Source organism: Homo sapiens, chromosome 7 (genome assembly GCF_000001405.40).
Source record: "Homo sapiens chromosome 7, GRCh38.p14 Primary Assembly".
NCBI classification, from domain to species: Eukaryota; Metazoa; Chordata; class Mammalia; order Primates; family Hominidae; genus Homo; species Homo sapiens.
This window is the reverse complement of record NC_000007.14, coordinates 155,956,811-155,984,708: the sequence shown is the minus strand read 5'-3', so window position 1 is coordinate 155,984,708 and position 27,898 is coordinate 155,956,811. Positions and strand designations below refer to the sequence as shown.

The window sequence follows — 27,898 nt, the reverse complement described above, 5'->3', positions numbered from 1 at the left end:
CCCTGTCCTCAGCGAGCCACACTCTACAGGGGAATAGTCAGCACCCCCAGGAGGTAGGGGAGCTGCAGAGAAAATAAAGCACAGAGGGGGACAGGAAGACCAAGTCAGGGCACAAGCTAGGGTGGCCAGGAAGCCCTTAAGACCAGAAGAAGGCCAGGGAAGAGCTACCCAGGCCCAGGTATCTCTGCAGAGGCACAGAGGATTGGAGGCGGGCACCCCCATGGAGGGCCCACTTGGCTTTGCCATGGCAGCTGGAGTGGGACAGCCAGGGCAGGATGGCGAAGAGATGTGGCTGGAGAGCAGCGTCCCGGAGGCCACCGTGGGGTTGGAAACCTGCAGGGTGAGCTCAATCACGCTGGCCGGCTGCTGCTTTGGAAAAACCTCCAGAAGCAAAATTCAAAGCTGTGGTCATGGTGAGGAGGCTCCTGCAAAGACCAGATGGGAAATGATGGAAGCCATGGGGTAGAGGCAGAGGCTGGATCCCGACACAGTGCACTGGCTTCAGAGCTCTCAAGTCTGCTGGCACACGGCACCCTCCATTGGGGCTGGTTCTGTCCTATGGGAGGTGAGTCCCTCCTTGGGGACTGACTTTCTCCTATGGGGCTGTGTGGCACACGATTCCCCAGATCCTTGGGATCCCCAGAGTGCTGGCTTCTTCATGCTAATGTTGACTGACAGCTTCAGGATGGAGCCGTTCACCTGAAAGATGGGCATGACCAGGTGCTTGGAGTGGTTTTTTCCTACTTAATTCCAATTCTTAGAACACAGCTCCTAGAACCCAAGTGCAAGCCTCTCCCTTGTTTGGCATTCCCTGAGATGGAGTGACATAACATGAATTCCATCAGGGCCAACTTCATGGCCCAGTGTGAGTCTGGCATCCCAGGGTACAAGGTCACACCCTTATCTTTCGAATGTTGTGACCACCACCCTCTGCCCAGCCCAATTCACCCTCCCACCCATGCTGCGCCCAGCCCCATCCTGAAATCTGTTTTCAATCCAGGGGCTAGGCAGCTGTCCCCCTACTTGTCACCCACCACAGACCAAGCCCTGGCAGTGGGGCAGTGCTGTTGGGTTCTTCCTGAGTAGTCACCAGGAACCTGACGGAGTGACGCACCCAGGCACCAGGTGGGCAGCACCCCAGCTCCACGGGGCCTTCTTAGGTAACATTGCATAGCCGACCTCTTAGCCAGCATGGGCAAAAGTAGCCATGGAAACAAGACACAGGTCTTTCAGGAGTCCTTTTGGAGGCTCTGCCCATACCCGGCGTTTCCCCTCTAGGCCTCACCTATGCCGCAGCCTTGCGGGGAGCAAGGAGCCTGGAGCTGCACCCCCTCCCCAGCTCTGCCCACCCTGGGCAGGGTTTGGCCACGATTCTCAGCTGCTCGGCTCCAGGGTTGCCTTTGTGTGAAAGGCGATACAACCACATGGCCTCCAGGACTGACCCCAGGGAGCCCTCTGCACATGCCAGCCCCTGTTCCTTCAGGGGGGTCTGCAAGCTTGGAGCAAATCTGGCTTGCACACACTGTCGGGAAGGATCCAAGCGGTTGCTGAATAAGGGCTGAGCTCGAGCAGATTATTAAGCAGCAAGACAAATTCTCCTGTGTATCTGGCTCTGGTTTTTATTTTTAGCAAGAAACACACACACACACACACACACACACACACACACACACACGTGTGTTTTGGGGGAAGGGCTCCATTTCTCCAAAGCCACCCTTAGGATGATGTGTGTCCACATCTCCACCTGGGTCTGCGGGCATAAGTGCATGTCAGTCACCTGTGAGCTCACAAACCCCACGGCTGCTCCAGCTTCATTCACACCAGACATCCCAAAGCCGGGGCTCTGGGAGCAGGACGTGAGCATCCAGCCACATAGGTCTCTGCAGAGGGTCCCCATGCTGCACCAGGGACCCATCCTGTGCTCAGACAAAGATTCCACATGCCTCCTGGACTGCACAGTGCCCAGCCCCAGGCCTCTTTTCTTCTTCAAGGAAATCACTGTAAAAGCATTGTGCAGTGTAGATATTCGGGAGCCAATGAGACTTTGGAAAGATGTTAGGTCCAGGAGGTGGAAAGAGTGACAAATTAGAGAGTGACTTTAGAGTCCCAGGGATGGCCCTACCTGCCCTTCCCCCTGAAGGAGTGGCGTGTGAGCAGCCTGCACTCAGCTGAAGCTCAGCAGTGAGACCCAAGCCCTGGGGGCCAGTGTGGGTGCAGATACCCGGAAGAAGCCAGCACCTCTCAGATACACCACGCGCTGCAACACCTAGCCAAGGGTAAAGTCAGCATCTTGGCTTTTTAGCCAGGTAAAGTGGCATAAAATCAGCAAACTTCTCCAAGAAGCTTTCAGGAAATATGAAAACATTCACCTTCTGAAACTGGGATTGCAGTAAGAACTAGGTTCTTTCAAATAAACATAAATATTCCCTGTGAGGGGCAAGGAGAGAGATGTAAGGCGTGGGGATAAGAGGAGATAGATAGATAGATACAGATGGAAAGATAGATTAGATAGATAATAATACATAAATAGATGATATATGATAGATAATAGAGATATATAATAGATAATAGATACATAAATAGATGATAGATAGCTACATAGATTGTACATAGACAGATGATAGGAGATAGATATAGATAGATGATAGATAGGATGGGTGGATGGATGGATGAATGGATGGATGGGTAAATGGGTAGGTGGATGAGTGGGTGGGTAGGTAGACGGACGGGTGGGTGGATGAGTGGGTGGGTGGGTGGATGGATGGATGGATTGATGGATGGGTAGATAGATGGGTGGATGGGTAGGTAGATGGATGGATGGATGGATGGATGGATGGATGGATGAATAAATGGGTGAATGGATAGATGGGTGGGTGGATGGATGGATGGTTGGATGAGTGGGTAGATGGATGGGTGGATGGATGGATGGGTGGGTGGGTAGATGGATGGTTGGATGAGTGGATGGATGGATGGATGGATGGAGGAATGGATGAATAAATGGGTGAATGGGTAGATGGGTGGATGGATGGATGGATGGATGGATGGATAGGTAGATGGATGGGTGGATGGGTGGATGGGTGGATGGATGAATGGGTGGGTAGGTAGATAGATGGGTGGAAGGGTGGGTGGATGGGAGGGTGGGTGGGTAGGTGGATGGGTGGATGAGTGGGTGGGTGGATGGATGGATAGATGGATGGATGGGCGGGTGGATGATGGAGATAAAAGAGGAGCCCTGCACAGGTCACTCGTGTCACTGTGCTCTGAACTGAAGCTTACAACTAATTCAAGCTTTATACCTGAGTTCCAAAATCAACAATATCAAAATTATGAATTCCTGCCAGAAATGAAAAACTTGCTATAATGTGGGTTTCCACAAAGCTGCCTATGCAGAAGGTTGGGGAAAAGCCGGGGAGTCTGAAACGCTGGAATCCTGGTCTGGCTTTGCCTTCAGGAGCCGTGTGCCCCCATCGCTGTTCTCAGCCATAGGAACCTGGCTCTCCTTCCTGCAGAGTAGCATCACCAGCCCTACCAGTGGCCAATGCCACCCTCCCCTCACTGCAATAAGGGTCACAAGCACCGGCAGGCCATAGGAATTCCAGCCTAATGCCTGAATTCCCTTCCAGCGCCCTGGAATTCCTCCATCTCTGGGTCCCCTGTGTTTCAGGGCTCCTCCATCTCAGGGTTTCCTCGTCTGACTCGGGGCCACAGTGCCCCCGCTGCAGCCCTCCCCACTCTCCACTCTTGGGGCCACAGTGCCCACGCTGCAGCCCTCCCCACTCTCCACTCTCGGGGCCACAGTGCCCGTGCTGTGGGGGATGCTTCTTCTTGGGGTTCCTCTGTCTCAGGGGCTTCTCATCAGTCTCGGGGCCGCAATGCCCACACTGCAGCCCTCCCCGCTCTCCACTGTCGCTGCCCTTCAGCAGCAGGTCTTCCTCTTGTGGTGCACCAGGTGGTTTCTGTCCTTTGATAATTTGGTGTCCTATCCAAGGAGGACAATTCGACCCTGGTGTCAGAAAAGAACGCGTGGCTAACTGGTAGGCAATTTTGTCTCAGAAATATAGCTGTCTTTTTTATCAGAAACACAGCGAGTGTCTGGAAATTCTCATCTGATTTGGCTCTGATGGGAAAGAAAAACTAGGAGAGGATTCTCCTCACTTGGGTCCCGGAGAGGGGCCAGGATGGACTTGCAGGAGTGCAGACCCTGCTGGAGAACTGGAGAGACCCGGAGGGCTAACCCCACAGAACAGGTGATTGAGAGAGAAGCCCTAGGTGGAACCTCTCCGTGGGGTCCTGGAGGACCACCTCAGCTGCTTTGTGTTTCAAACAAACTTCTCTGTTTCACAATTCCAAGAAGTACCTACGCAAACCTGGGTCTGCTGCAGGGTGTAGTTCCCTGAGGAGCTTTGTGGTGTTGATATTCCGCGCTATCTCTCGCCCCTGTCTGATAATGACGGGTGGATCCCAAAGGTCATTCGGAGGCATCCCAGCTTCCACAGCAAGGCGTCGCAGGGTCTCCCTTCTGACTTCCTAACCCAGTGGAGAGGGGTGAGGGGCTCCACACTCATTCTCTCCTCTCCTTACTGAGCGACCCCAGCACTTTGCAGGCAGCGTTGTGCACAGATGCTTTTAACCTGAGTCTCCCCTTCCCCTGCAGCTGGTGTGGCCTCTGTGATGCAGCTACATCCAGGGGCGGAACGGAGGACTAACAGGGACTTCTGGAAACTTCTGACTTTCCCAGTTTGGGTGCTGTGTTTCTTTCTTCTCTTTCTCCTCCTCCTCCTTCTTTTCTTTCCTTTTCCTGTTTCTCATTCTTCTTCTTCCTCTTCTGGAGAAAGTGGACGTGAGGCAGGAGGTGGAGCAACCATTTTGTGGCCATGAGGCATTTGTGAGGACAAGAGGAATAGAAAAATAGGACTCAGAGTGCGAGGCCACCACACAGGTGCTGCTCTAGCCCCGGCTGCCACTGCCTGGTGAGTGTGCCTGGTGGCCCAGCCACTGCAGTGAGGTACCTGCTACCTTCACCCACATACAGTCCCTCAAACAGAAAGGGAACTGTTTCCATCTTGGCAGAACAAACCCCCATATGAAAATAACTTGGCCCTGGGTTTCGGAAAACTCAGTAAGCATTATACTTAGTACTTATCACTGCTCAGAACAGAGTGAATTTTGAGAAGCACTTCCACTTTGCTGGGAGACAAATCTCACTCAAGACCTTTAGGGGACAAGACACCAGCAGCACGGGCACTGGCATGAAGATGACTAAGGGGCTAAAACTAAGAGATGAGGTGTTAGGAGAAAGCCACTAGGAATTATCCAGAAAGCCAGCCTCTTTGGAGAAGGTACGATCTGTGATGAAACTTGTTTTAACTGGAAAAGGCCAGCAAAACTAGGATGTAACAAGTCCTATTAAGAGAGGGCACGCCTGTTTGCTTACTCTATGGGTGCAGCCAACTCAATTTATCCAAAATTCCAGCAAACAGAAAGCACTAATAAAGATTATTTTCATCTACAGCTGTAGACCTATGCAATGCTAATTGATGTTTATTAAGACATCTTTGGGGAAACAGAAAAACCCCAAAGGACCTTATTATCCAAAGAGTCAATTACTTCCAAATTGTTTGGATGTTAAGAGTAAGTTAGTGCATTGTCAATTCACATTCAGGCTGGTATTTGTAGAATAAATGAAGATGCTGCATCTTCTGCTCAGTCTGTTAATTATGTTCCCCACAAACTTATCCCTACAGAGAATCTGTGACTAGATAGTAATTTGCTTAGATTCAGTCTGCATATTAAATGATCATCTGCTTTTCCCCCTTTGTTTTTGCTTTATTTCTCTTTTGTTTTCCTTATTTATATTCAGTTACTTCTTTCAGCATCCTAAAAAGCAAACGGCTACTGTAATTAATTTCTAATAGATCATATGGATGCAGAGATCATGTAGGAAGTCAATGTTTTTAGCCCAGTTCTGCAGAATGTCCTCACAAGCTCAACTCCATCATTATTCAGCAGGCATTCATGTCAAAGGCAAATTCATTTCTGGCAAAATGGGAAAAAGATTATTTTGAATTCATGAAAAATGAAAGGACTTTGCTCAAAATTGGTAACCTGTCATAGATTTGTTACTGTGAGTTTTTCAAAAACAAGATATAACCTAAGCCCTATGGGCATTTGACTAGCACGACCTAAGTCAGCCATCCTTTTTCCCAAACTCCCAGTGCACAGGGGGCTTGGGATGTCAGAGAATCACAGCATCTTAGTATACTGGACTGAGAACAGGTATGAGCCACTGCTACTGTCATCCTGAAACCCAAAAGGATAATGAATATTTCAACAAATGACCAAAACATGAACACCAATGCCTTTGACAAAAGGCAAATGAATTATTTACACAAATGGGAAGCTGAAACTGGCTAGTGGTATTTTCCGATACCAAACATACGGGGGAAAAGAATCCTTGGATACCAATTTGCCTGAGAACAACACAATTCCATAGAATGCCACAAGAGACACTTCAGTGACCACCCCAACTCTCTCGCAGGGCAGCCTGCTCCAGGGGACTCTGACTTCCTACCATGTTGGGAGTTTCTTCTTCCACTGCCCAAGTCGTGTCAGAGCCCATGGGGAAGGCAATCCCACTCTGACACAGCAGCAGCAGCCTGATGTGGGACGTGTGCTTTTTATTCTCCTCTTGCCTCTTCCTCACCTCCACGGTCTGACTCCAACTCCATCTAGTTTCTTCAGTAGTTCTGCATGTCTTGCAATAATTAAATAAAGATCAATATTTTTATGCACCTGTTTCAGTTGAAAGTTATTCTTGTAATGTGCTTAGAGCTGAATAGCGGCTTAGGTGTCACTCATTTCAAACTCTTCCTTTACACAGATGAGAAAACTGAGACCCAAAGAGGAGAAATGACTTATTCAAAGTCATGCAACTAGAGGGTATGAAGCCAAGACTAGAATCCACATCTCCAAAAGCCCATAGCAGTATTTTTTCTTTATACCACTTTATCTCAATTGTACTTTAGGATGCAAGGGAGGTATGATTTGGCTCACTGTTTCAATGACCTTAAAGAAACTTCTGAACCAAAGGTTAATACCAGCCGGACTCTGTTACAACACAGGCTTTTAAATCTACTATATTTTAAAATCTGCAAGATTTAAAATTCACTATAAAAGAAATAATGTTCCCTTCCTCAAAACAATTTAAAGTGGAGGCCAGGCGCGGTGGCTCATGCCTGTAATCCCAACGCTTGGGGAGGCCGAGGGGGGTGGATCACCTGAGGTCAGGAGTTCGAGACCAGCCTGGCCAACATGGTGAAACCCCGTCTCTCCTAAAAATACAAAAATTAGCCGGGTGTGGTGGCAGGTGCCTGTAATCCCAGCTACTTGGGAGACTGAGGCAGGAGAATTGCTTAAACCCAGGAGATGGAGGTTGCAGTGAGCTGAGATCTCACCATTGCATTCTAGCCTGGGCGACAGAGTGAGACTCTGTCAAAAAAGAAAAAAAAAAAAGAAAAAGTAGAATTTCCATATAATCCAGCAAGCACTCTTCTGGGTATACTTACAAAAGAATTAAAAGTGGGATGTCAAATTGATATTTGCACATCTGTGTTCATAGCAGCACTAGTCACAACAGCCAAGGGGTTGAAGCCACTCAAGTGTCCATCGTCGGATGGACAGATAAGAAGCCTTGGTCTCTAAGCACCACGCAATATCTTTTGGTCTTAAAAAGGAAGGAAATTCTGGCACCTGCTACAATGCAGATGAACCTTGAGGACATTACGCTGAGTGAAGTGAGCCAGACACAGAAGGACAACTACTGAATGATTCCATTTATATGAGGTCCCTAGAATAGTCAAATTCATAGAGACAGAAAGCAGAATGATAAGAGCCAATGGCCAGGGAGTAAGAGAGTCGAGACGTGTTTAATGGGTGCAGAGTTCTAGTTTTGCAAGATGAAAAAATTCAAGTGATCCATTGCACAACAATGTGACTATATTTTACATACTAAACTGTACACGTGGTAAATTTTGGTTATGTGTTTTTTTCACAATTACATTTTAAAAATTTTTAATAAATACTGTTTCTTAAATATAACCTTCAGATATAATCCAAGCTCAAGATAATACGACCCCTGATGCAGACGTGCCTGCTCAGATAAGCATTACAATGTGAGATGCAATTTTTCATCGGAGTCGGCTGTAGAGACATCCAACAAGAAAACACAAGGAATGTCTCTTTTTCTCTTCAAATATCACCAAAAGAAATATTTTTGTTTCACTTTCCCAGGTTTCAAATCTGCTAGGAAGAAAGCAACTCTAAGACCTTTCTCTCTGCTACATAATATAACTGAGACTACTAATTAAAGTTTCACCGAGAAGGCTTTTGGACAGATGGTTTCACTATTTTAATTAAGTATATATATTAGACTGTTGGAATTAATATATTTGACACGACAGATGTTTTCTGTGCTCATTTAGAATTTTTAGTCATTTACTATCTATGTCGGAATTAGGGCCCCTTGTGAATTTTATTCTGTTCAATTTTGCAGTTTATTCGTATTTTGTCATGTTACTGTTATTACTGAGTAATCTCAAGTATAATATATACAAAGGAAACTTTAAGGAAATAGAAAGTGCTTTTTTGTAGGCATTAGAACTGATTTTAGTTAGGATGAGCCATTTAGTGACCACAAATTCAACTGTGGCATCTTGTGACTCCAGTCACAGTCCAGGAGGGGTTTCTCTGTGCGTTCTTACTGTGCGTCCATCTGCGCCCCTTTCCAGCCACAAAGCGGCTACCAGATTTAAAAGCCTTCTGTGCTCACACCATCCTGAACCTCCGCCTGTCCCTGCCTCTCATTGCCCTGTTCCCTCCACCATCCTACTACCAAACCTTTCTTCCTAAAGTCCTGCTGTCTGCATGGAGCCTACAAAGTCTCCACGTCCCCTGACCGCAAGCCTGAGCTCCTCTTTGTGGTTCCCAAGAGCATGGGTGTTCAGCCCTCCCCAAGCTGCTCAACCTCCCACACCGTCAGTGTTCTGGCCGCCATCTCATCTCGCTCCTCCTCATTTCCATGTGGGAGGGACTCAGCCCCAGTCGCAGCTTGCACCCCCTCTTGAATCCTCTCCCACCTCCTCACCCCTCCTCAGGCTTCCTGAGCAACAACACTCAGGGCACACTCCTGAGTGTCTGCCCAAGAGAAGGGCCAGCTCATGTCCGCACAAAGACTCGTAACAAGGGTCTGTGCCATCAATATTCATACTGGAAACAATTCACACATATTCAAACTGAAACAATATTCAAACTGGAAACAATTCAAGCCTCCAGCTGATGAATGGATATGTAAAATGTGGTTCCTCCATACAGTGGGTTTCTCTTCAGCAATAAAAAAGAATAAACTGCTAATGCCTGCTAGGACATGGATGAACCTCAAACATGATGCTGAGTGAAGAAGCCAGTCTCAAAAGATCCCGGACTGCCTGATTCCCATCTACGTGAATGTCCAGAAAAGGCAAATGTGTAGGAATGGAAAACCGGTTCGCGGTTGCCTGGGCTGGGGCGAGAATGGAGATTGAGTACAGATGGGCATTAGGGCCTTTCTGAGGGACGGAAATGTTGGAAACTGAATTGTAGTAGCAGTTGCATAATTATGTATTTTTTTTTACAAACCATTGACTTATACACTTAAAATAGGTGAACCCACAGCATGTACAATTATTATCACTATTACTAACGCAAAAAAATTTTAAACTTTAAAATATGTTTTAAAACCTGGTAACGTCCTTCCCCTCTCTACCACATCCCTTCTGTGAACTTCAGGAACACTTAGGTATGGTGCCGCATGGTGGTGGGCCGTGGGGTCCTTCCTAGTTTGTGCTGGTCTTGTGGTTTAGGGAGTTTACTTTCTTACTTGAGAAAACAGCGTGAGAACCTTGAGTGGTTAACTTCCCTTTGCTTTCTTCCCAGTGTGGACCCTGGTCGGGGGCTCCAAGCCATCCAGAGTCTGGCCCCACCCTTCCTTCTCCAAGATCAGCAGGAGCTCAGCCAGGGTCAGGTGAGACGCCCAGCCACTGCCCAGGCTGCCTCCTCTGTTTCTTTTGTTCTTCCCTGCCTGGGAGCAGGTATCCCACCTTCCTTTCTTCCTATAGGAAACCAAGCCATTCCCCAGCCCATATTAAATCCCATATTCTCCCTTTTTTGACATCACCTAGCACTCACCTTCCCCTGACTTCTAGCAGCACTCACCCCACCCGGGGAGCAGGTCCCCCCTGTCCAAGCGTGAGGAGCCCTGGACCCATTTACGTCTGCCTTTCTTGATGTTCCTGGGGCACCTGGGAGGAGCCTGGAAGAGAATCTCTGTAAATAAAGTCGATGGCTCATGCTCATCAACAGCCTGCAGACCCAGCCCTGGGGCGGCCACATGCTTAGGCTCAGACTGTAGGGGTCGTCCACCCCACCCTCACCTCCTGTCTGAATTCCCCTGGATCTTGCCCTCCAGGTGGGATCCCATGGTCTGCTCTTGACACCCCCGTGGGCAGGGAAATTCTACTTTTTGGAGCAGTCCATTCCAATTTGTGAAAGCTCTTGCTGATGGAAACTTCTTCCCTGTCTGGAGCCCACCATGACCCACCCCCACGACCCGTCCCCTCCACCTGTTGTCACAGGGATGCCCTTAAGGCCACACAAAATGACTGCAGCCCTTCTTCCCACTGACAGTCCTTCCTACCTCCTCAGTTTTCATCCGTTCCATGCAAAATTCTAGAACTCCTCAGCACTGGGCCACTCTCCACTGGGCAAGCACCACCATCTCCATCTGTTGCACTGGGATGCAAACAGCGAGCCCAGGGACCCACCATGGCCTGGCCAGCCTGAGCAAGCAGCACCACTGTGGCCGTGCCGGTGCCCGTGCTGCCCTCACTGTGGCCGTGCCGGTGCCCGTGCTGCCCTCACTGTGGCCGAGTGAAGAGTGAAGGGGCACCGTGCTGAGCCGTCGGCCTCCGTCCCTGAAGACACTCACTTCTTTTTCACCTGGCTGCTTAGCTATACTCTCCTGCCTTGTGCTAGCCGACTTGGAATTTGGGGAACTAAATTCAGAATGGTCCCTGCATCCCTCTCCAGCACTGGCAGGACCACCATGGCAGGCAGATCTCGAGTTGTCACCTTTTCCCTGGGGGGTGGCATCCTGCCCCTGTCCTGCAGCAGGCCCAGGCATCCTCCCAGCTCCACCTTCCACAGTGTTTAGATGTGCACTTTCCATGATTTATCCAAGTCATGGCTGTCATCAGTTATAAGTCAGTTTAGGAACAAATAACAGAAACTTGGTCTGACTTAACAAACATAAAATCCCATATTCTTGTTTTTCTGTGTCATAAAAACGAGCCTGGAGATAGGTGAGGCCTGCCAGTGAGGTGGTCAGGGCCCTGCCCTCCCCACGGTCCACAGTCCCATCCTCAGCACAGCTGCCTCTGGGCACAGACCGCTGTGGGCACGTCCCTCTGCCAAGGACAGAGAAGATGTTCAGGAGCAGGGAAGGGCTTTCCCAGGAGCCTCTGCCTTCCCGTTAGAGGAAGGGGCACCCGCCCGTGTTGTTCCGCCTGAATGCCACTGCCTGGAGCTGAAAGGAAGCTTAGAAAATTGAGTGTTTGGTAGGGCACTCAATTGTTCCCTGAGAAAAATCAGATTCTACACTTAAGGAAGAGTGTGGCAAGGACATTGTGTGCTCCACCAGCAGCCTCAGTCACAAGAAAAACTGTCAGAGAGAGGAGAGCCCTGGGGCTCCCAGTGGGGGCTTGCTCCAGACCTGTGTGGGAGTCAGCTTGGCTATCTGAACAAAATCCCACGATGTGGCTACGGATGGGGCGGCTTACACACAGAAGTTCATTTCTCACAGCTCCAGAGGCTGCAAGACCAACAGCAAGCTGTGGGCAGGGCTGGCCCCCTCCAGTGCCTTCCTCCCTGTCTCTTCCCTGGGTCCTCGCAGGGTCAGCCTTCTGGGTGTGTCTGTGTCCTTATCTCCTCTTCTTATAAGGACGTGGGTCAGATGGGATCAGGGCCCACCCTAATACTCCATTTTACTTTAATTAACTCTTGAAATGCCCTATCTCCAAATACAGTTACATTCTCAGGTCCTAGGGGTCAGGACTTCAACATGTGAATTGGGGGGTGAACTTAACTCAGCCGCAGCGACTGACAATGACCTATCATCCCTCCGTGAGGCTGCCAGCCTTACCCTGATGCGTCCACATGGGCGTTCTTGCCCAGACGTGTCCACACGGGCATTCTGCAGACTGCATTTACACACTCCCCCATAAATATACGTATTGGTCTGAACTTGTTTTTTAAGAGAACTTAGGAAAATCCAGACACAGTATGTCCACAACCTTACCTGATCCAATAATTCTAAATAATCCTTTCTAGAATCATACAGTACATGGAGCCATTAATTAGATGGTTATTTTTATACTTGTTATCCCAATCTGTCATAACTAAAACCAAGTTTAACCTACACACCGTGAAGTAGGAAACTATTAAGTACCCAGAAAACTGACTCAATTCTCTACTAAATATAGGTACAGAGGTTCCTACGGCTACACCCTTCTTGGATACAAATGGCCCCAGCTTTTAGGATAAAAAGCATTCCTGTAAATCATGTAAGACAGATGGCTGTGAGCCTGCGCTTCTGAATTCAGGTTCCAGAGAATGATGGGCATCATTAGTGGGCAAAAACTGAAGGAATTTTTTTAATAGCCGCCAAAGGCTTAGAAGAAGCCGGGGCTGGAGGCTTCAGTGGGAAGAGTTCTCCCTCTCTGCCTGCATTTCCCACAGAGCACCTCTCCCGTTTACTGCTTGGGGCTCTCCAGGGCTTCCTGGATACCTGGTGGGCATAGAAGGCCTTGAGGCCTGGACCAAGCCTCTCTCCTTCCACTCAGCGTGGAGGCTAAGACGTCCATCCTCACCAGGGTCTTGCCCTCGGAGAGATGCCACTCTAAACTTCCTGGAGGGAACGTGCTGAACACCCAGGCCTGGACAACCGAGGAGAAGGAAGAGGAAGAACAGATTAAAAACTTCCCTGCGTCAGGCTGAGAAAAGAAAAGGAAAAAAAAAAAAAAAGGAAGTGAAGCCTCAGCTCAACCAGCTTGCATACTTGAATAACGTGCAGAAATGAAAATCTTGAGTTTCAGGTAAAGTTCATATCTGTGCCACTGGCTCAGGTGCCCTACAGGCCCCATTCCTGGACTGCACACCTCGTTTACCTGGGACTGAGCAAAACCCAGGGGAGGACCCAGGTGTCAAGGCTGAAGCTGCTGCATGCAGGCAACCTGCATCCTACCCAGCGCTGAACACACAGATCCCACTCCGTCTTCACGGAACTCGTGGTCAGGGCAGAGGGACACGTTAAATATGAGTATTTCTTTCCCTCTGGGGATGACAGTTACAGATCCCAATCCATCTTCACAGAACTCGCGGCCAGGGCAGAGGGACACGTTAAATATGAGTGTTTGCTTTCCTTTGGGTATGACAGTTGCATATCGTTGATAAGGGATTTAGAACACAAAGGATTTGAAAGCAGGGTGAATTTCGTCCAGGATCTAGCAAACAGTCAGTGATCAAAAATGTTTCTTCAAGCTCTTCCTGAATAAACTCAATACTGTGAATATCCAAAGGGCTGAGTTTTCTGAGATGAGGCTAGACAAGTCCTGTAGGAGACAGAGTGGACAAGTGTGTCACAGCCCCTCGAACCATTGTGCACCCAGTTTCACTGAGATGAGACAAGTGTCCTGCAGAATAGACCAGCACAGCGTGATCAATACTTTGAGTGATCCCAGGTCACCCTGCAGAGGAGTGGGCTATGAGAGGAGTAACAGCATCAGCCCAGCTCTGGATGAGGTGAGGGATCTTAAAAGACACACTTAGCTCACGGAACCAACTACATTCTCCTCTGAAAAGGGAAAGAAAAATGTAAACAGGAAGTCAGAATTTCTTCTTGAGAAGTTAGTCCCTTTAGGGAGCAGAAATGGGCTAAAATAGACAAAGAAACTAAAATTAAGTCATTTAAGAATTTCATGAAAATAAAAGGGTCATCATCATCAATCACGATTTTGATAAAATTTCATAAATATCTTGTGGAAGCTCCTTCCCATGTTACAAGAGCCCTGGAGGGAAGACGGACGTGCAGTTGGCTGATGGGGAAGCTTTGGGAATCCTGACTCTGTCAAGGCTGCCACGCTCAGCAAAAGCAGACTTAGAAGCTAGACCAGGTCCTGGACCCAAAGGTCTTTCTGGAAAAACTGCTAGACGTGCATTAGGCAACGAAAGAGCAAAGGGGCATATTCAGCTTCAACTGCTCTTCAAAAAGAGAGGAACAGAAAGGATTTTACACTGTGGAGAATATTTCATAAGACTGTGTGAAAAGAACAGACAGAAAGGCCCTACCTGTGCTTGGTTTTTAAAGCTACCTTCCTCATTGCTTAGAAATAGGCATACAGGCCAAGCGCAGTGGCTCTTGCCTGTAATCCCAGCACTTTGGGAGGCTGAGGCGAGCAGATCACGAGGTCAAGAGATTGAGACCATCCTGGCCAACATGGTGATACCCCATCTCTACTAAAAATACAAAAATTAGCCAGGCGTGGTGGTGCATGCCTGTAATCCCAGCTACTCGGGAAGCTGAGGCAGGAGAATCGCTTGAACCCCAGGAGGTGGAGGTTGCAGTGAGCTGAGATCTTGCCACTGTACTCCAGCCTAGGCAACAAGAGCAAAACTCCGTCTGAAAAAAAAAAAAAAAAAAAAAAAAAAAAAGGCAGGCAGCCCAGCCCGGTACCTTCAGAGAGGAACACGTTCATCCCCACCACCACCACCAAGTGCTGGTGAAAATGGAGAGCCCTGGGATGAAAAGTCCATGACTCAAGTCCGCCGCGGCGTACTGCCTTCTGGGTGCTCAGAGCTCTCCAAGCCTTATCTCCTCCAACCGTCACAGCACACTTGGAGCAGCGCCACTTTACAGACGGCATCCGAGAGCTTTAGAAAAGTTAACTCACCCCTTGTCAAATGGCTCTTCATTGTGGAGCCCGGCTTTGCACTGGGACAGTCGGACTGCAGAGCTGCTCCTCTAAACCCTAGAGGAGGAACGTTAAGCAGAGAGGACTTGGGTGTGCAGCCACCATTCCAGGGGTGCAGAGAGAATGTGGAATACTCATCTCTAGTCACGAGAAGCTTAACTACCTGGTGGAATTACCAGCCAGGCACGCACGAAACAGTTAAGCCATAATGTAAGGTGGCAGGTAACAAAATGTGAACATGAACGATAAAGTGGGTCCGACCAGACACCTCCAGCCCAGGATCAACTTCTGCTATGATGCCAGTCCTCAGCGAGAGCTCTGTGATGGGCCGCCTTCTGGCTCCCATCCTTCCCCACCTGCATCCGTGCCTTCTGCCATGGAACTCTGCATCCCTCTTTCTAAAATGGTTGAGCCAATTTCCTTTACTCTTGGGTCTGAAATCAGTGATAGGATGTGTTTTGGATCATACAGCAGTTCACAGAAACATGGCCTGTGGATCCCCGAGGGTCCCCAAGCATTCTCTGGGGATCCATGATGTAAAAATTATTTTTGCAATAACACCTAGATGTCGTGTACCTTTTTCACTGTTGGTATTCTGAAATGTGTCAACATTTGGAAGATCTGCATGACTCAGTGAATTAATATGAATTCACTCAGGGAATTAACATGACCCTTACTATTTTAAGGTATGTTTCTTTTATACCCAGTTTATTGAAGGTTTTTTGTATCATAAAGGTATGCTGAATTTTATCAAATGCTTTTTCAGCAGCTACTGAAATTATTTTGTCAAATGCTTTTTCTGCAATGTGAACAGAACATTAACAGAATCAAGAACATTAATAGAACTGAGAACAAAAATCATGTGATCATTTCAATACTTATTGGTTTGCATATGTAGAATCAACCTTGCACCCTGGGGTGAAACCCACTTGATCATGGTGAATGATCTTTTTGATGTGCTGTTTAATTCAGTTGGCTAGTATTTTGTTGAGGATTTGTGCATCTATGTTCATCAGTGATCTTGGCCTGTAGTTTTCTTTTTTGTTGTTGTATCCTTATCTGGTTTGGGTATCATGGTAATGCTAGCCTTGTAGAATGAGTTCGAAAGATGAAAAGGTTCTGCGCAAGGCCAGGCATGGTGGCTCATGCCTGTAATCCCAGAGCTTTAGGAGGCCAAGGTAGGAGGATCACTTGAGGCCATGAGTTCAAGACCAGCCAGGGCAACACCATAAGACTGTCTCCCCCATCAAAAAAAAAAAAAAAAAAAAAAAGTTTCTACACAGTAAACAAAACAATCAACAAAGTGAAGATGAAGATACAACCTACAGAATAGCAGAAAATATTTGCAAATTCTTTATCTGACAAGGGATTAATAAGCAAAATATATAAGGAGCTCAAATAGCAAAAAAACAAATAATCTGATTTTAAAATGGCCAAAAGATCTGAACAGACATTTCTTGACAGAATACATACACATGGTAAACAGGTATAGGAAAAAAATGTTCAACATCACTAATCATCAGAGAAATGTAAGTCAAAACCAGAGTGAAGTATCACTTCACCTCAGTCAGAATGTTTTTTCTCCAAAAGACAGCCAATAACAGATGCTGGTGAGAATGTGGAGAAAGGGGAAACCCTTGTTCACCATTGGCAGGAATGTGAATTTTCACAGCCATGGTAGAGAACACTATGGAGGTTCCTCAAAAAACTAAACGTAGAACCACCATATGATCCAGCAATCCCTCTGTTGGGTATATATTTAAATCTGCACTCCCATGCTTATTGCAGCACTATTCACAATAGTCAAAATATGGGATCAACCTAAGTGTCCATCTGTGGATGAATGGATAAAGAAAATGAGGTATAAATACACAATGGAATATTATTCAGCCATAAAAAAGAATGAAATCCTGTCATTTGCAGCAACATGATGTTAAGTGAAATAAGCCAAGCACAGAAAGACAAATATCACATGTTCTCACTCATACACAGGGGCTAAAAAAGAGAACCTCATGAAGATAGAGACTGGGTTGGTGGTTACTGGAGGCTGGGAAGGGTAGGGGAGGTGGGTGGAGAAAAACAAAGGCTGATTAAGGGTATAAACCTACACATAGAAGAAATCAGACATGGTGTTTGATAGATCAGTAGGGTGATTATAGTTAACATTAATCGGTTGTTTTGAAATAGCTAGGAGAGAATAATGCAATTGTTCTTAGCATAAAGAAAAGATAAATATTTAAGGTAATGGATATCCCCATTACCCCAATTTGATTATGTGAGTGTATCAAATTATCACATGTACCCTGAAAATAAGTACATCTAATAGGTGTCAGTAAAAAGTAAATAATTTTTTTAAAAAGAGAATAGATGTCTGAGTCGTTTCCACCACATGGCTATTGTATACTGTTGTTATTAACGTGGGTATAAAAATCACTATTTGAGATCCTACTTTTATTTCCTTTGGGTATGTAACCAGAAGTGGCACTGCTGGATCCTATGATAGTTCTATCTTTAATTTTTTGAGGAATGACCATACTGGTTTACATAGTGGCCACACCATTTTACATTCTCACCAACTTTACATTAAGTTTTCGATTTCTCTACACCCTTGTCGACACTTTGTTTTTCTTATTGTAGCCATCCTAATGGATGTCAGGCGATATTTCATTGTGGTTTTGATTTTCATTTATCTAATGTTAGTGATATTGAGCATCTTTTCATGTGCTTATTTGGCCATTTGTATATCCTCTTTGAAGAAATGTCTATTCAAGGCCTTTGCCCACTTTTAAATTGAGTTACTTATTTTGTTGTTGTAGCTGAGATTTAAATGTTCTTTATATATTCTGGATATTAACCCCTCACCAGATACATAATTTGCAAATATTTTCTCTCATTCTGGCAGGTTGCCTTTTTACTGTGTTGACTGTGTACTTTGATACACAGAAGTTTTTAAGTATGATGTAGTCCCAATTCTCTATTTTTGCTTTTGTCACCTGTGCTTTTAATGCCATATGCAAAAAATCATGCCAAATCAATGCATGAAGTTTTCCCCTATGTTTCCTTCTAGAAATTTTATACTTTTTGGTATTATAGCTAGTTCTTTAATCCAGTTTTAGTAGATTTTTGTATATAGTGTAAAGTTAGGGTCCAACTTCGTTCTTTTGCATATAAATATCTAATTTTTCCAAAATCATTTGTTGAAGAGGCTGTCCTTTCCCCATTAAGTGGTCTTGGCACCCTCACCAAAGATCATTTGACTATATATGTGAAGATTTATTTCCAAGATTTATATTCTATTCTATTTTTCTATATCTTTGTGACAATATCATGCTGTTTTAATTACTGTAGCTTTTTAATTACTGTAGTTTTGAAACCAGAAAGTGTGAGCCCTCCAACATTGTTCTTTTACAAGATTGTTTTGTCTACTCAGGGTTCCTTGAGAGTCCATGTAAATTTTAGAATGGATTTTCCTATGTTTGAAAAAAAATTGGGTTTTGACAGGGATTGCATAGAATCTATAGTATTGACATCTTAACAATATTGTCTTTCAATCCATGAACATGGGATGTGTTTTCATCATCTAATTGTGTCTTCTTTAACAGCTTTCATCAACATTTTCTAGTCTTCAGTGCAGTTTTAACATTTTGTTTACAAGTCCCTCACCTCCTTGGTTAAGTTTATTCCCCAAAAGATTATTTTTTTAAAAAATGACTGCATCTAAGCAGGAGGGGGTTCTTCTTCCATTTTCTCCTTTCCTTAGTCAATGCTAAAGTCTAAATAACTGCTACATGGTATTTAATTGTTCCTTTTTAAGAAACCATACTTGCAGGTCAAAATAGCCTTAATAATTGTGTATTGTCAGCTTACTTCAAAGCAGCTCACGTAGATTCCAGCCCAAGACCAGGACCACCCGGGACCAAGAAAGCACATTCTCCAAAGACAACTTTCACTGCAAAGATTAGCTGTGTATAACTGGCGACCATTGGAAAACTGAAGATGAAGGACTGTATTTTTTTTTTAAGTTTTCCAGCATGGATAATGCAGTTAGACTGAGCCCTGAGATTGCTAATTACAACAATCTCAATAAATACAAATAACTCTAACCCATCATGCCACTGGTCTTTGGAGCAAAATAGGAGCAATTATATTTCAAGTAAGTCAGTTCAAAGGCATGACTAAGTCTTTACAAGGAGCCAAATTGTCCATGGGTGTTGAGTGGCTACGAAACATGACGCCCTTCATCTCTGCCAAGGAGCAGGTTCAGGTGTGCGCAGCTGGGTTTGGCCGCCAGCCTTACCTTGGGAGAACAAGTGCTATAGTCCCAGGTCAGACTCCAGGCTGAGCTCAGAACATCAAAGGAAGTCAGTGGTGGAGAGTGACTCATCCTGAGAGCAGCAACATCATCTTGACATCCAAGTACTGTGCATTTTGGATGAAGCTTCCCCTCAACCCTAACGCCATCATAGCCAGGCGGAGGCCTTGAGGAAAGCTCCCCGGTCCAGCAGGCTCACCTTTCACACAACTGTACCTCATCCTTGAACCTCGCCTGCACAGTCCAGCCAGCCCACTGCTGCTGTGCTCCCAAAGGGACGGGGACAAAACATGACAGAGGCCATGGGGCCTGAGCAGGCAAAGGAGTCCTTTACAATTTCTCTTCAGCATGAACCGGTGACATCCCACAGGACAACAAAGACTTATCATGCGAGTAGCTCAAGAGCAGACACAGAATGCCAACTCAGATGTGTCCTTACATGGGCGCTGGGTGAGAGGAGAAGGCAGGTAAGGCCTCAGCCTTCTGAGCACGAGCGGCCAGCCCTGCCAGGCAGTTGACCCAGGCAGTGACAGCAAGCGACAGAGGTCCCTGTCCCAACCCCTCCCCCAGGGTTTCCCCAGCCCTGGGAAGCCACCACTGGGGAGATGCTAGCACCCTCATGTTGGTGCCCCTCCTCCCGTGGTCATGAAGAAACAACAAGCAGGCTCTGACCTCTTGAGGACACACTGGGGAGCAAAAGCAAGAGTAATCAGCGAGATGGGCCGGAGTCCAGCCCGCAGCACAGGGCTCGCCCAGGTGCTCCCTGCTGAGTCTGAGTCCAGCCAACAGCAGCTTGGAAATCAACTGACAAGTTGCTGATCTGAGAGTTATCCATGGTCCCAGGTAACCTGGAAACTGGTGTAGCTCAGAAGAGACACCCACAGACCTATATTGAGAGAAAAGGGGAGTCAGAAGGTATTTAACATTTTTTAACAATTGTGACATTAATTGTGATGCTCATCAGTGCAGGTCCCAGGAGGTGGCTGCCTGGAGAGTGGATCTGATGAGGATCCCACAGTTCCTCCTGCCCACAGCCCTCCCCGCCAGCCTCAGGGTCCCCTCCCCAACAAGGGTCACTCCTCCTGACCAAAGGAAAGGACAAGATGCTGACCGCAGGGTCCCTGCTGAAACCATGTCTTTCCCGGAAAGGGAAAGAAGGGCTGCCACACCCCTGACTCCACTTACCTATGAGCAGGGACACGCCACTTCCTCGGGTTCAAATCCTAACTCAGCCACTTACTGGCTGTGTTGGGGGATTAAAGAGCTCGTTCATATAAACCCCTTCTATGAGAGTCTGCCAGGCACATGGCCGGCCTTAGGCCTTTGTCTGTGGTTATGATTGTTATCTTCGTTAGTCGTCACTTAGAGAGAGACGTGCAGAGCTGCTGTGACGTGGTGTGGAAGACAGCAGAATCAGCAAACACTGAGTTAGAATAGTCGAGGTCAACGGCACAGCTGGGGGTGTGCATGAAATGGGAAGGGGCCACAGCCAAAGGGGCCTCAAAGAGGAGGAAGGCAGGGAGAGCCAGGGAAAAGTTGCCATCCAGCGGGGAGCCCATGGGAACACACGATGGAGGGCCCTGGATGGCCCAAGTACCTGCCGTGCCTCCTGGACCCCCAGCTCCTCCTCTAATAAGCTGTGCTGCCCTGAGGGGGTCAGACAACTCTTCGGAGCTGGGTTCCCTGGAAGGCCCAGCCATCACCCTTCCACCTAAATGGAGGCCTGCAAATCACCAAGACCTCCTTGGTCTCAAAGCTTGGAGCCAGCAGGACATGCAATTGTCTGTGAGCACAGAGCAAGACCACAGCTGGGCCAAACGGTGGCCGCCTCAAAATATGATGTGAGAGAGACTGGCAGGGCCCGCCTTCCCCAAATCATCCACGACATTTGTAAAAACCCCACCACTACGGCTTCATCCCTGTGGATTCATCCTACCACTGTCAGGTGTCAGGAGTCCCTGCCACACGCAGGTTTATACACTGTTGCCTAAACTCTCCAAATTCATCTGAAGCGAGCTCATCACAGCCGCTGTAAGCCCCTACCCTCCACCCTGTCTCTTACCTGGCAGAATACTCATGGTCCACGTGTCTGCAAGCCTGGACCTCAGCCTCAGTGCTCCTTCTCCTCTGCGGCACCCCGTCCCCCCGGCTCTGACGCTTCACTTCCTCCGTGTTTCTTGAACCTCCCCTTTCTCCCAGCCTACATGAGAATCTGGACACCACCGGCCCGATGGCCTCAGAGCCGGGTCCCCAAGCAGGTTCCGGAGGATGCCCTCTGCTCATCCACCCTCTGCAAAGGCCCCCAAGCAGCCTCTCTGTGAGGCTGCACCCCGCAAAGCTGGCATTTGTCTTGGCCCTAAATGGCCGAATATTGTCTATTTCACGTGGTTCAACCCATAAGCAGTGGAGACGACTGCAGAGGTCCTGTTTGGAATCCTCAGTAGCTCCATTTGCCAAGCTGCTTAGCTGCCTAGCTCCAGCCTGTCCTTCCACACTACCCAGCAGCATGAAACACGCAGCTTCCAGAACTCTCCCTGCATTTCGTCTTGGCTGTGACTTGGCTGTGCAGCCCTTTTGCCTGGCCTTATCCACATGTTCTCCTCTCTCTTCCCATTCATCCTTAAGACCCAGCCTAGCTGTCACCTCCTCCAGAAAGCCTTCCTTGACCAACCGTCGTCCACAGTAAGTAGTACCCGTGCTCCTAAAGCTTCCCTGGGATTAATATTGCACTGATCACATTGGCTTCAGTGATGTTTTTCCTTCCACTTCCTGCTCTAGTGTAGAACTCACAGGGCGGGGACAAGGTTTTCATATACCCAGCACGGGGAACAGCAGCCCTTGGTTAACATGTACTGAATGAATCACAGGAAGTGGTGGCTGGAGCTCATTCACACTAGCATGTAAATGACTAATATACATCCTTTCCTGAAAACAACCCTTGATGGAGGAGAGGAAGGGGAAATCCCAGAGCCCCGGGCAAGTGAAGCCAGGGAAGCAGCCCCACCTGGAGAGGGACAGGTCCAGGGAGTTGGGAGGCCCAGCTTCAACCCTGGTTATGAAGGTGGGCTCGGTTCTGCACGCCTCCTAAATGGCTTGGGTGGAGGGAATCGGGGTTCCTATTTGAACAACTGAGAGGCCCTTAAGGCAGTTGCTAAATGGAAAACTTCTCAAAGGGACTGGGAAACGTGGGCAGCTCTGGAAATCGGAGCATCCAAGCAGGAAGCAGCTGAGCAGGTGAACTCCAACTGCCTCTGCTCCAAGCGGCTGGCTTCCCTGCAAACCGCAGTCCTGCCCCCACGCCCACGCACACTGCGGATTGGCACTTCACACAGACTAATTAACAAATAGCAGGGCGATTAAATCACGCAGCCCGTGGTATTTTCCTAACTCCTCTCAGTGGCGGCAGAGCATGAAAGTGAAATCAGGAGCTCTCCCCAGAGGCCCCGCTGCCGACCGCAGGCCACTCTTCAGAAGGAGCAGCAGCCACCGAAGAGGCACAGCCCTCATGCACTCCAGAGACCATGGGCAGCTGCCTCCATGGCCGTGTCCTGCCCTGTCTCCCCTCCCAGCCCTGGGCTGGCTCTGGCCCCCGAGGAGTAGACAGTAGGTCCCTGTCACTGTGGCTTTCCTTGCTTTCTGTCCCTGGGTCTTGCCCCTTGTGCCGAGCTGCTGGCTGCCCCCCTCAGCTCCCACCCACCTCCTCTCAGGGCACAGCTGCTCCAAAGCTGCCCCTGTCCTTCCTCCCCTTGCTCCTGGCATGCACACTGGGTCCCGCCTGGACACTCACCCTCTTGGTTATCTTCTCTCCTGCTGGTCAAGCACCCCTTTCTGCTGGGGTTCATCTCCTCTGAGCTCTGTCCTCTTTTCTTTACACGGCAAACAGAGGACACAGCTGCCCCTCGTTCAAATGCCAGGAGAAGGCTCCCAGCCAGCATTCCAGACAGAACACTCCAGGTGCTCCATGACACACGGACAGATCCTTGCAGAGAAGTGAGACGTTCTAGAGCCTGGACAATTCCATAAATGGCCGTGAGGACTTTGCTTTAAGGACTTTGCTCTCGGAAGCTGGATTTTCCCTCTATGAGTTAGAATTCCATGACAACATGGCACCCAAAACACAGATGCTGTTTACCTCTGTTCATACAGTCAAGCTCATTAAAATTCATTAAAGCCACCGACTATCATTCTACTGAAAATCACTTATAACAAATCAGACTTACAACAGATTTTGATGTTGCATAGTATTCAATTTGATCAAATCAGTCAAGACGTTGAAAGCTCCCATAAGGGGAAGAAGGAGGGCGATGTAGAAATATAAAGGGGTAAAATGACGGTACAATGGCCAGAGTGCAGAGTGCGCAGAAACCGGAATTCACCTTCCTGAAGGCCAGCTCAGGGCAGGATTCTAACACACACACACACACACACACACACACACACGCTCAGGCATTCATGCACATGTACACACGCATGCACACGTGTGCACATGCATGCACATAAGCACACAGTGGCTTCACATTGCTGCTCGATGACTCCTTTCTGACATGAAAACGCTACTTTGCACTTTTCACCCTCTCCCCAACTATGAATTCCTGCATACTTATCCCCAGAAATTAGAATTCACATGGCAGATAATAGAATTTCTGCCAATTAGTTCACTTATCTAACAAGGTAGGCTCTTTCTCTACTGGAAATGGTCATCTGTAGGTTATCATAACATTTCACATGGGCTTCTTCCGGGGAACGGGAAGGAACAAGGACAGTCAGCAATTGTCTCCAGAGCATCGCCTTGCTGGTTTAAATGCTCCAGGAAGTGTTTGCCGTGGGACCAACGGCAGGTAGGGGCACAGGTGGAGTGTGCTGGGGACAGGAGGGGCTGCCTGGGAAGGTAAAAAGGAATGGGAAGAAAGAGAGGGACTATCCCAGCGAGGAGCAGTGTGATCTTGATACCTTCAATGCCTGTGAGCCAAGCATTCAGGATTTATTTCTACCCCAATTATCCTAAGAGAGGCAATGGCCTCATTCAGTGCCATGGAGAAATGGGCTCTAGCTCCTAGATGACAATGGCGGCCAGCCTCTGCGGATGGACAGGAGAGCTGCCAGAGAGAGCCAGGGCCATCCTAGTGGCGGTTGCGAGCCTCACCCCAACCCGCTCCAAACCCACCCCGGAGGCAGGTGCTGCCAACGCCACGTAAAGCACCTGCTGAGGTCTGGGAAAGGCCACGCCCATAATCACGGCAGGGCGTTTGTTGTGCTTCTGAGAGTCAGCCCATTACTCCTGCTGAGACGCCAGCATCTAAGTGCACCAAGAATGCTGTGACTAAGGGCTATTAACTGGGTGGCCCTAGTTGGACTGGAGAAATTGCCTGACTCTCAAAAAGTTCCCCATCTTGTTCCTTTCCAAAGGGTAAGTGTAATGTAGACGTGTGTCATCATTTGTATTGGAAGACACGCTGGCCGCTTCACTGAGTCAGGCTTTCACTGAAACATAATAGCTACTCACCTCCGAAAACAGAAACTATACTGCACTACACTATTCCATATTATACTCTGTGGTGCTGTGCCGTGCTATACTGTGTAATATTATACTGGACTACACTGTATTATGCTATACTATACTACACTATGTTATACTATACTACACAATACTGCATTATACTGTGTGTACTACACTTTCCTATGCTGCACTACACTATGTTATACAACACGATACTATACGATGCTATGCTATACTACACCACACCACGCCATACTGTATTATCCTCTACCACACTGTGTTATGCTACAATACACTACACTATGCCACACTATGCCATATTATACTATACCATACTACATTCCACTACACTACAATATGCTACACTATGCTATGTTATATTATACCACACTATATTATGCTACACTATAGTACACTTGCTACACTATACTGTATCATACTATACTACCCATGCTATACTATGCTATAAAACAATACACTATGCTATGCTACACTATGCTATATTATACTATACTGTGCTCTATTATGCTACACTATTCTACCCTACATTCACTATACTATACACTATACTGCCCTATATACACTATATTATACAGTGCTGTTTTATACTACACTGTACTATATTGTGCTACACTATGCTATGCTATATTATATTAAACTATACCACACTATGTTATGCTACATTATACTATACAATGCTGTATTTTACCATACTGTACTATGTTACGCTACACTAAACTATGCTATGTTATGCTATATTATACTATACCACACTATATTATAATACACTACACCACACTGTGCTACATTATACTGTACCATAATATATTACACTACACCACACTATGCTATGCTATGCTATGTTATACTGTACTGTAGTATATTATACCACACTACACCACACGATGCTACACTGTGCTACATTATACTGTACCATGCTGTTTCTACACTACACCCCACTATCCTACACTATGCCATATTATACTGTATAAGCCTATATGCTACACAATACACTATGCTACACTATACTATACTTTCTTATAGTGTACTATACTATGCTACACAATGCTAAACTTTACTATACAATGCTATATTACACTATACTGTACTATATTATGCTATACTATGCACGCTATACTATATTACATTATACCACACTATATTATGCTACATGATACTACACTATGCCATGCTATACTATACCACATTATATTATGCTACACTATACTACGCTGTGCTACACTATGCTATATTATACTCTTATACCATACTGTAGTATATGATCCTACACTATACAGTACTGTGCTATGCTACACTATATTATACTGTGCCTGACTATATTATGCTACACTATACTACACTGTGCTATATTATACTATACCACACTACATTATGCTACACGAAACTACATTATGCTACACTATACCATACAATGCTATCTTATACTATACTGTACTATATTATGCTACACTATGCTACACTATGCTACATTATAGTATACCACAGTATATTACATTAAACGATACTACACCATGCTACACTATACTATACAATGCTATCTTACACCATACTGTACTATATTATGCTACACTATGCTACGCTATGCTACATTATAGTATACCACAGTATATTACATTAAACGATACTACACCATGCTACACTATACCATACAATGCTATCTTACACTATACTGTACTGTATTATGCTACACTATGCTACGCTATGCTACACTATACTATACCACAGTATATTACATTAAACCATACTACACCATGCTACACTATACCATACAATGCTATCTTACACTATACTGTACTGTATTATGCTACACTATGCTATGCTATGCTACATTATAGTATACCACAGTATATGACATTAAATGATACTACACCATGCTACACTATACTATACAATGCTATCTTATACTATACTGTGCTGTACTATGCTACGCTATGCTAGATTCCACTATACCACACTATAGTATGCTTCACTGCACTACACTATACCACACTACATGACACTACACTACACTACACTCTATGATGCTGTACTACATTGCACTGCATTACTCTATGCTGCTCTGCTCTATAGTGACCACACTACTCCACACCGCACCATACTGTACTCTTCTTTCATAGCACGTCTCCAGTGCAGAAGAAGGAACAAGGTCTGGAGTCAGGAATGGACACGCGCATGATTTAAGGCAGGCCTCACCTCCCTCTGCACCTGCCTTTTATCTATCAAACAGGGACCGTAACATGTCTCTCATCTGTGGGCCAGAGCTGTTATAGTGACCAGATGTAGTCTGAGAAGCCACTTCGAGAAGTGTGAGGCTCCGTCCGCAGAGCCCTGTGATCCTTCAAACTGTGTACGTCGGAATTCACTGAACATCATCTATCTATTGGGTGACTGTCTCACTGACCCCCTCTCTCTTCTTTCCTCTTTTTCTTCAATACTGTTTGACCAAATTAGGAAAGGTTTGAACCCCATTTTTTAAAATCTGAGGTGGCCACAGCAGCTGCCCCAGCCCCACACCTGTCTGGCCCTGTTGTGGAGCTGGCTGCACTGCCCTCGCATGTTACCGCTGACGTTTCTGTGGAGCCTCCGGCCTGCACAAGCACATAGGGTGTGACAGGCTCCTGAGGCTGCCATCGCGGAGGACCGCAAACCTTACATGCGGCTTAAAACAACAGAAATGTCCTCCCTCACAATCCCAGGGTCCAGAGGCCTGAAATCAAGGTGTTGGCAGGGCCCTGTTCCCTCGGAGGCTCTGGATGGAATGTCCCCTCAACCTTCCCAGCTTCTGTGGCTGCCGTCGGTCCTGGGAGTCACCAGGCTTGCAGCTGCACGGTTCCCATCTCTGCCTATAGTGCTATGCTATACTATATTATATCATATTGGACTACACTATATTATGCTATGCTATACTGCACTGTGCTATACAACACTACACTATACGATACTATGCTGTACTACACTACACCACGCCATACTATATTATACCCTACCACACTGTATTATGCCACACTA

At 46.9% G+C, this 27,898-nt stretch overlaps 1 long non-coding RNA gene across 3 annotated transcripts, besides 3 other annotated features; it reads right to left on the bottom strand.

The window, feature by feature from the left end:
* Positions 9,609–10,108: an enhancer, noted in NCBI's record as "H3K4me1 hESC enhancer chr7:155767295-155767794 (GRCh37/hg19 assembly coordinates)". NCBI's record gives its function as "activates a minimal SCP1, AML or CMV promoter by ChIP-STARR-seq in naive H9 embryonic stem cells {active_cell/tissue: H9 hESC(naive)}" and the evidence as "EXISTENCE:reporter gene assay evidence [ECO:0000049][PMID:30033119]".
* Positions 10,109–10,610: an enhancer, noted in NCBI's record as "H3K4me1 hESC enhancer chr7:155766793-155767294 (GRCh37/hg19 assembly coordinates)". NCBI's record gives its function as "activates a minimal SCP1, AML or CMV promoter by ChIP-STARR-seq in naive H9 embryonic stem cells {active_cell/tissue: H9 hESC(naive)}" and the evidence as "EXISTENCE:reporter gene assay evidence [ECO:0000049][PMID:30033119]".
* LOC389602 (uncharacterized) lies at positions 15,747–23,368 on the bottom strand. Of its 3 annotated transcripts, NR_168379.1 has the most exons (3): positions 21,434–22,152; positions 20,044–20,257; positions 15,747–19,817 (listed from the first exon to the last, which is right to left on the bottom strand). It is a non-coding gene; the product is annotated as an uncharacterized LOC389602 (long non-coding RNA). The 3 variants fall into 3 exon arrangements; NR_144629.2 differs by lacking the exon at positions 21,434–22,152 and adding an exon at positions 23,159–23,368 and having other exon boundaries at positions 15,747–20,257; NR_168378.1 differs by having other exon boundaries at positions 15,747–20,257.
* Positions 21,614–22,813: an enhancer, noted in NCBI's record as "P300/CBP strongly-dependent group 1 enhancer chr7:155754590-155755789 (GRCh37/hg19 assembly coordinates)". NCBI's record gives its function as "activates an origin of replication core promoter dependent on BRD2, BRD4, P300/CBP, MED14 and CDK7 cofactors, with strong dependence on P300/CBP, by STARR-seq in HCT116 cells {active_cell/tissue: HCT116}" and the evidence as "EXISTENCE:reporter gene assay evidence [ECO:0000049][PMID:35650434]".
* Positions 23,369–27,898: the final 4,530 nt, after the last annotated feature.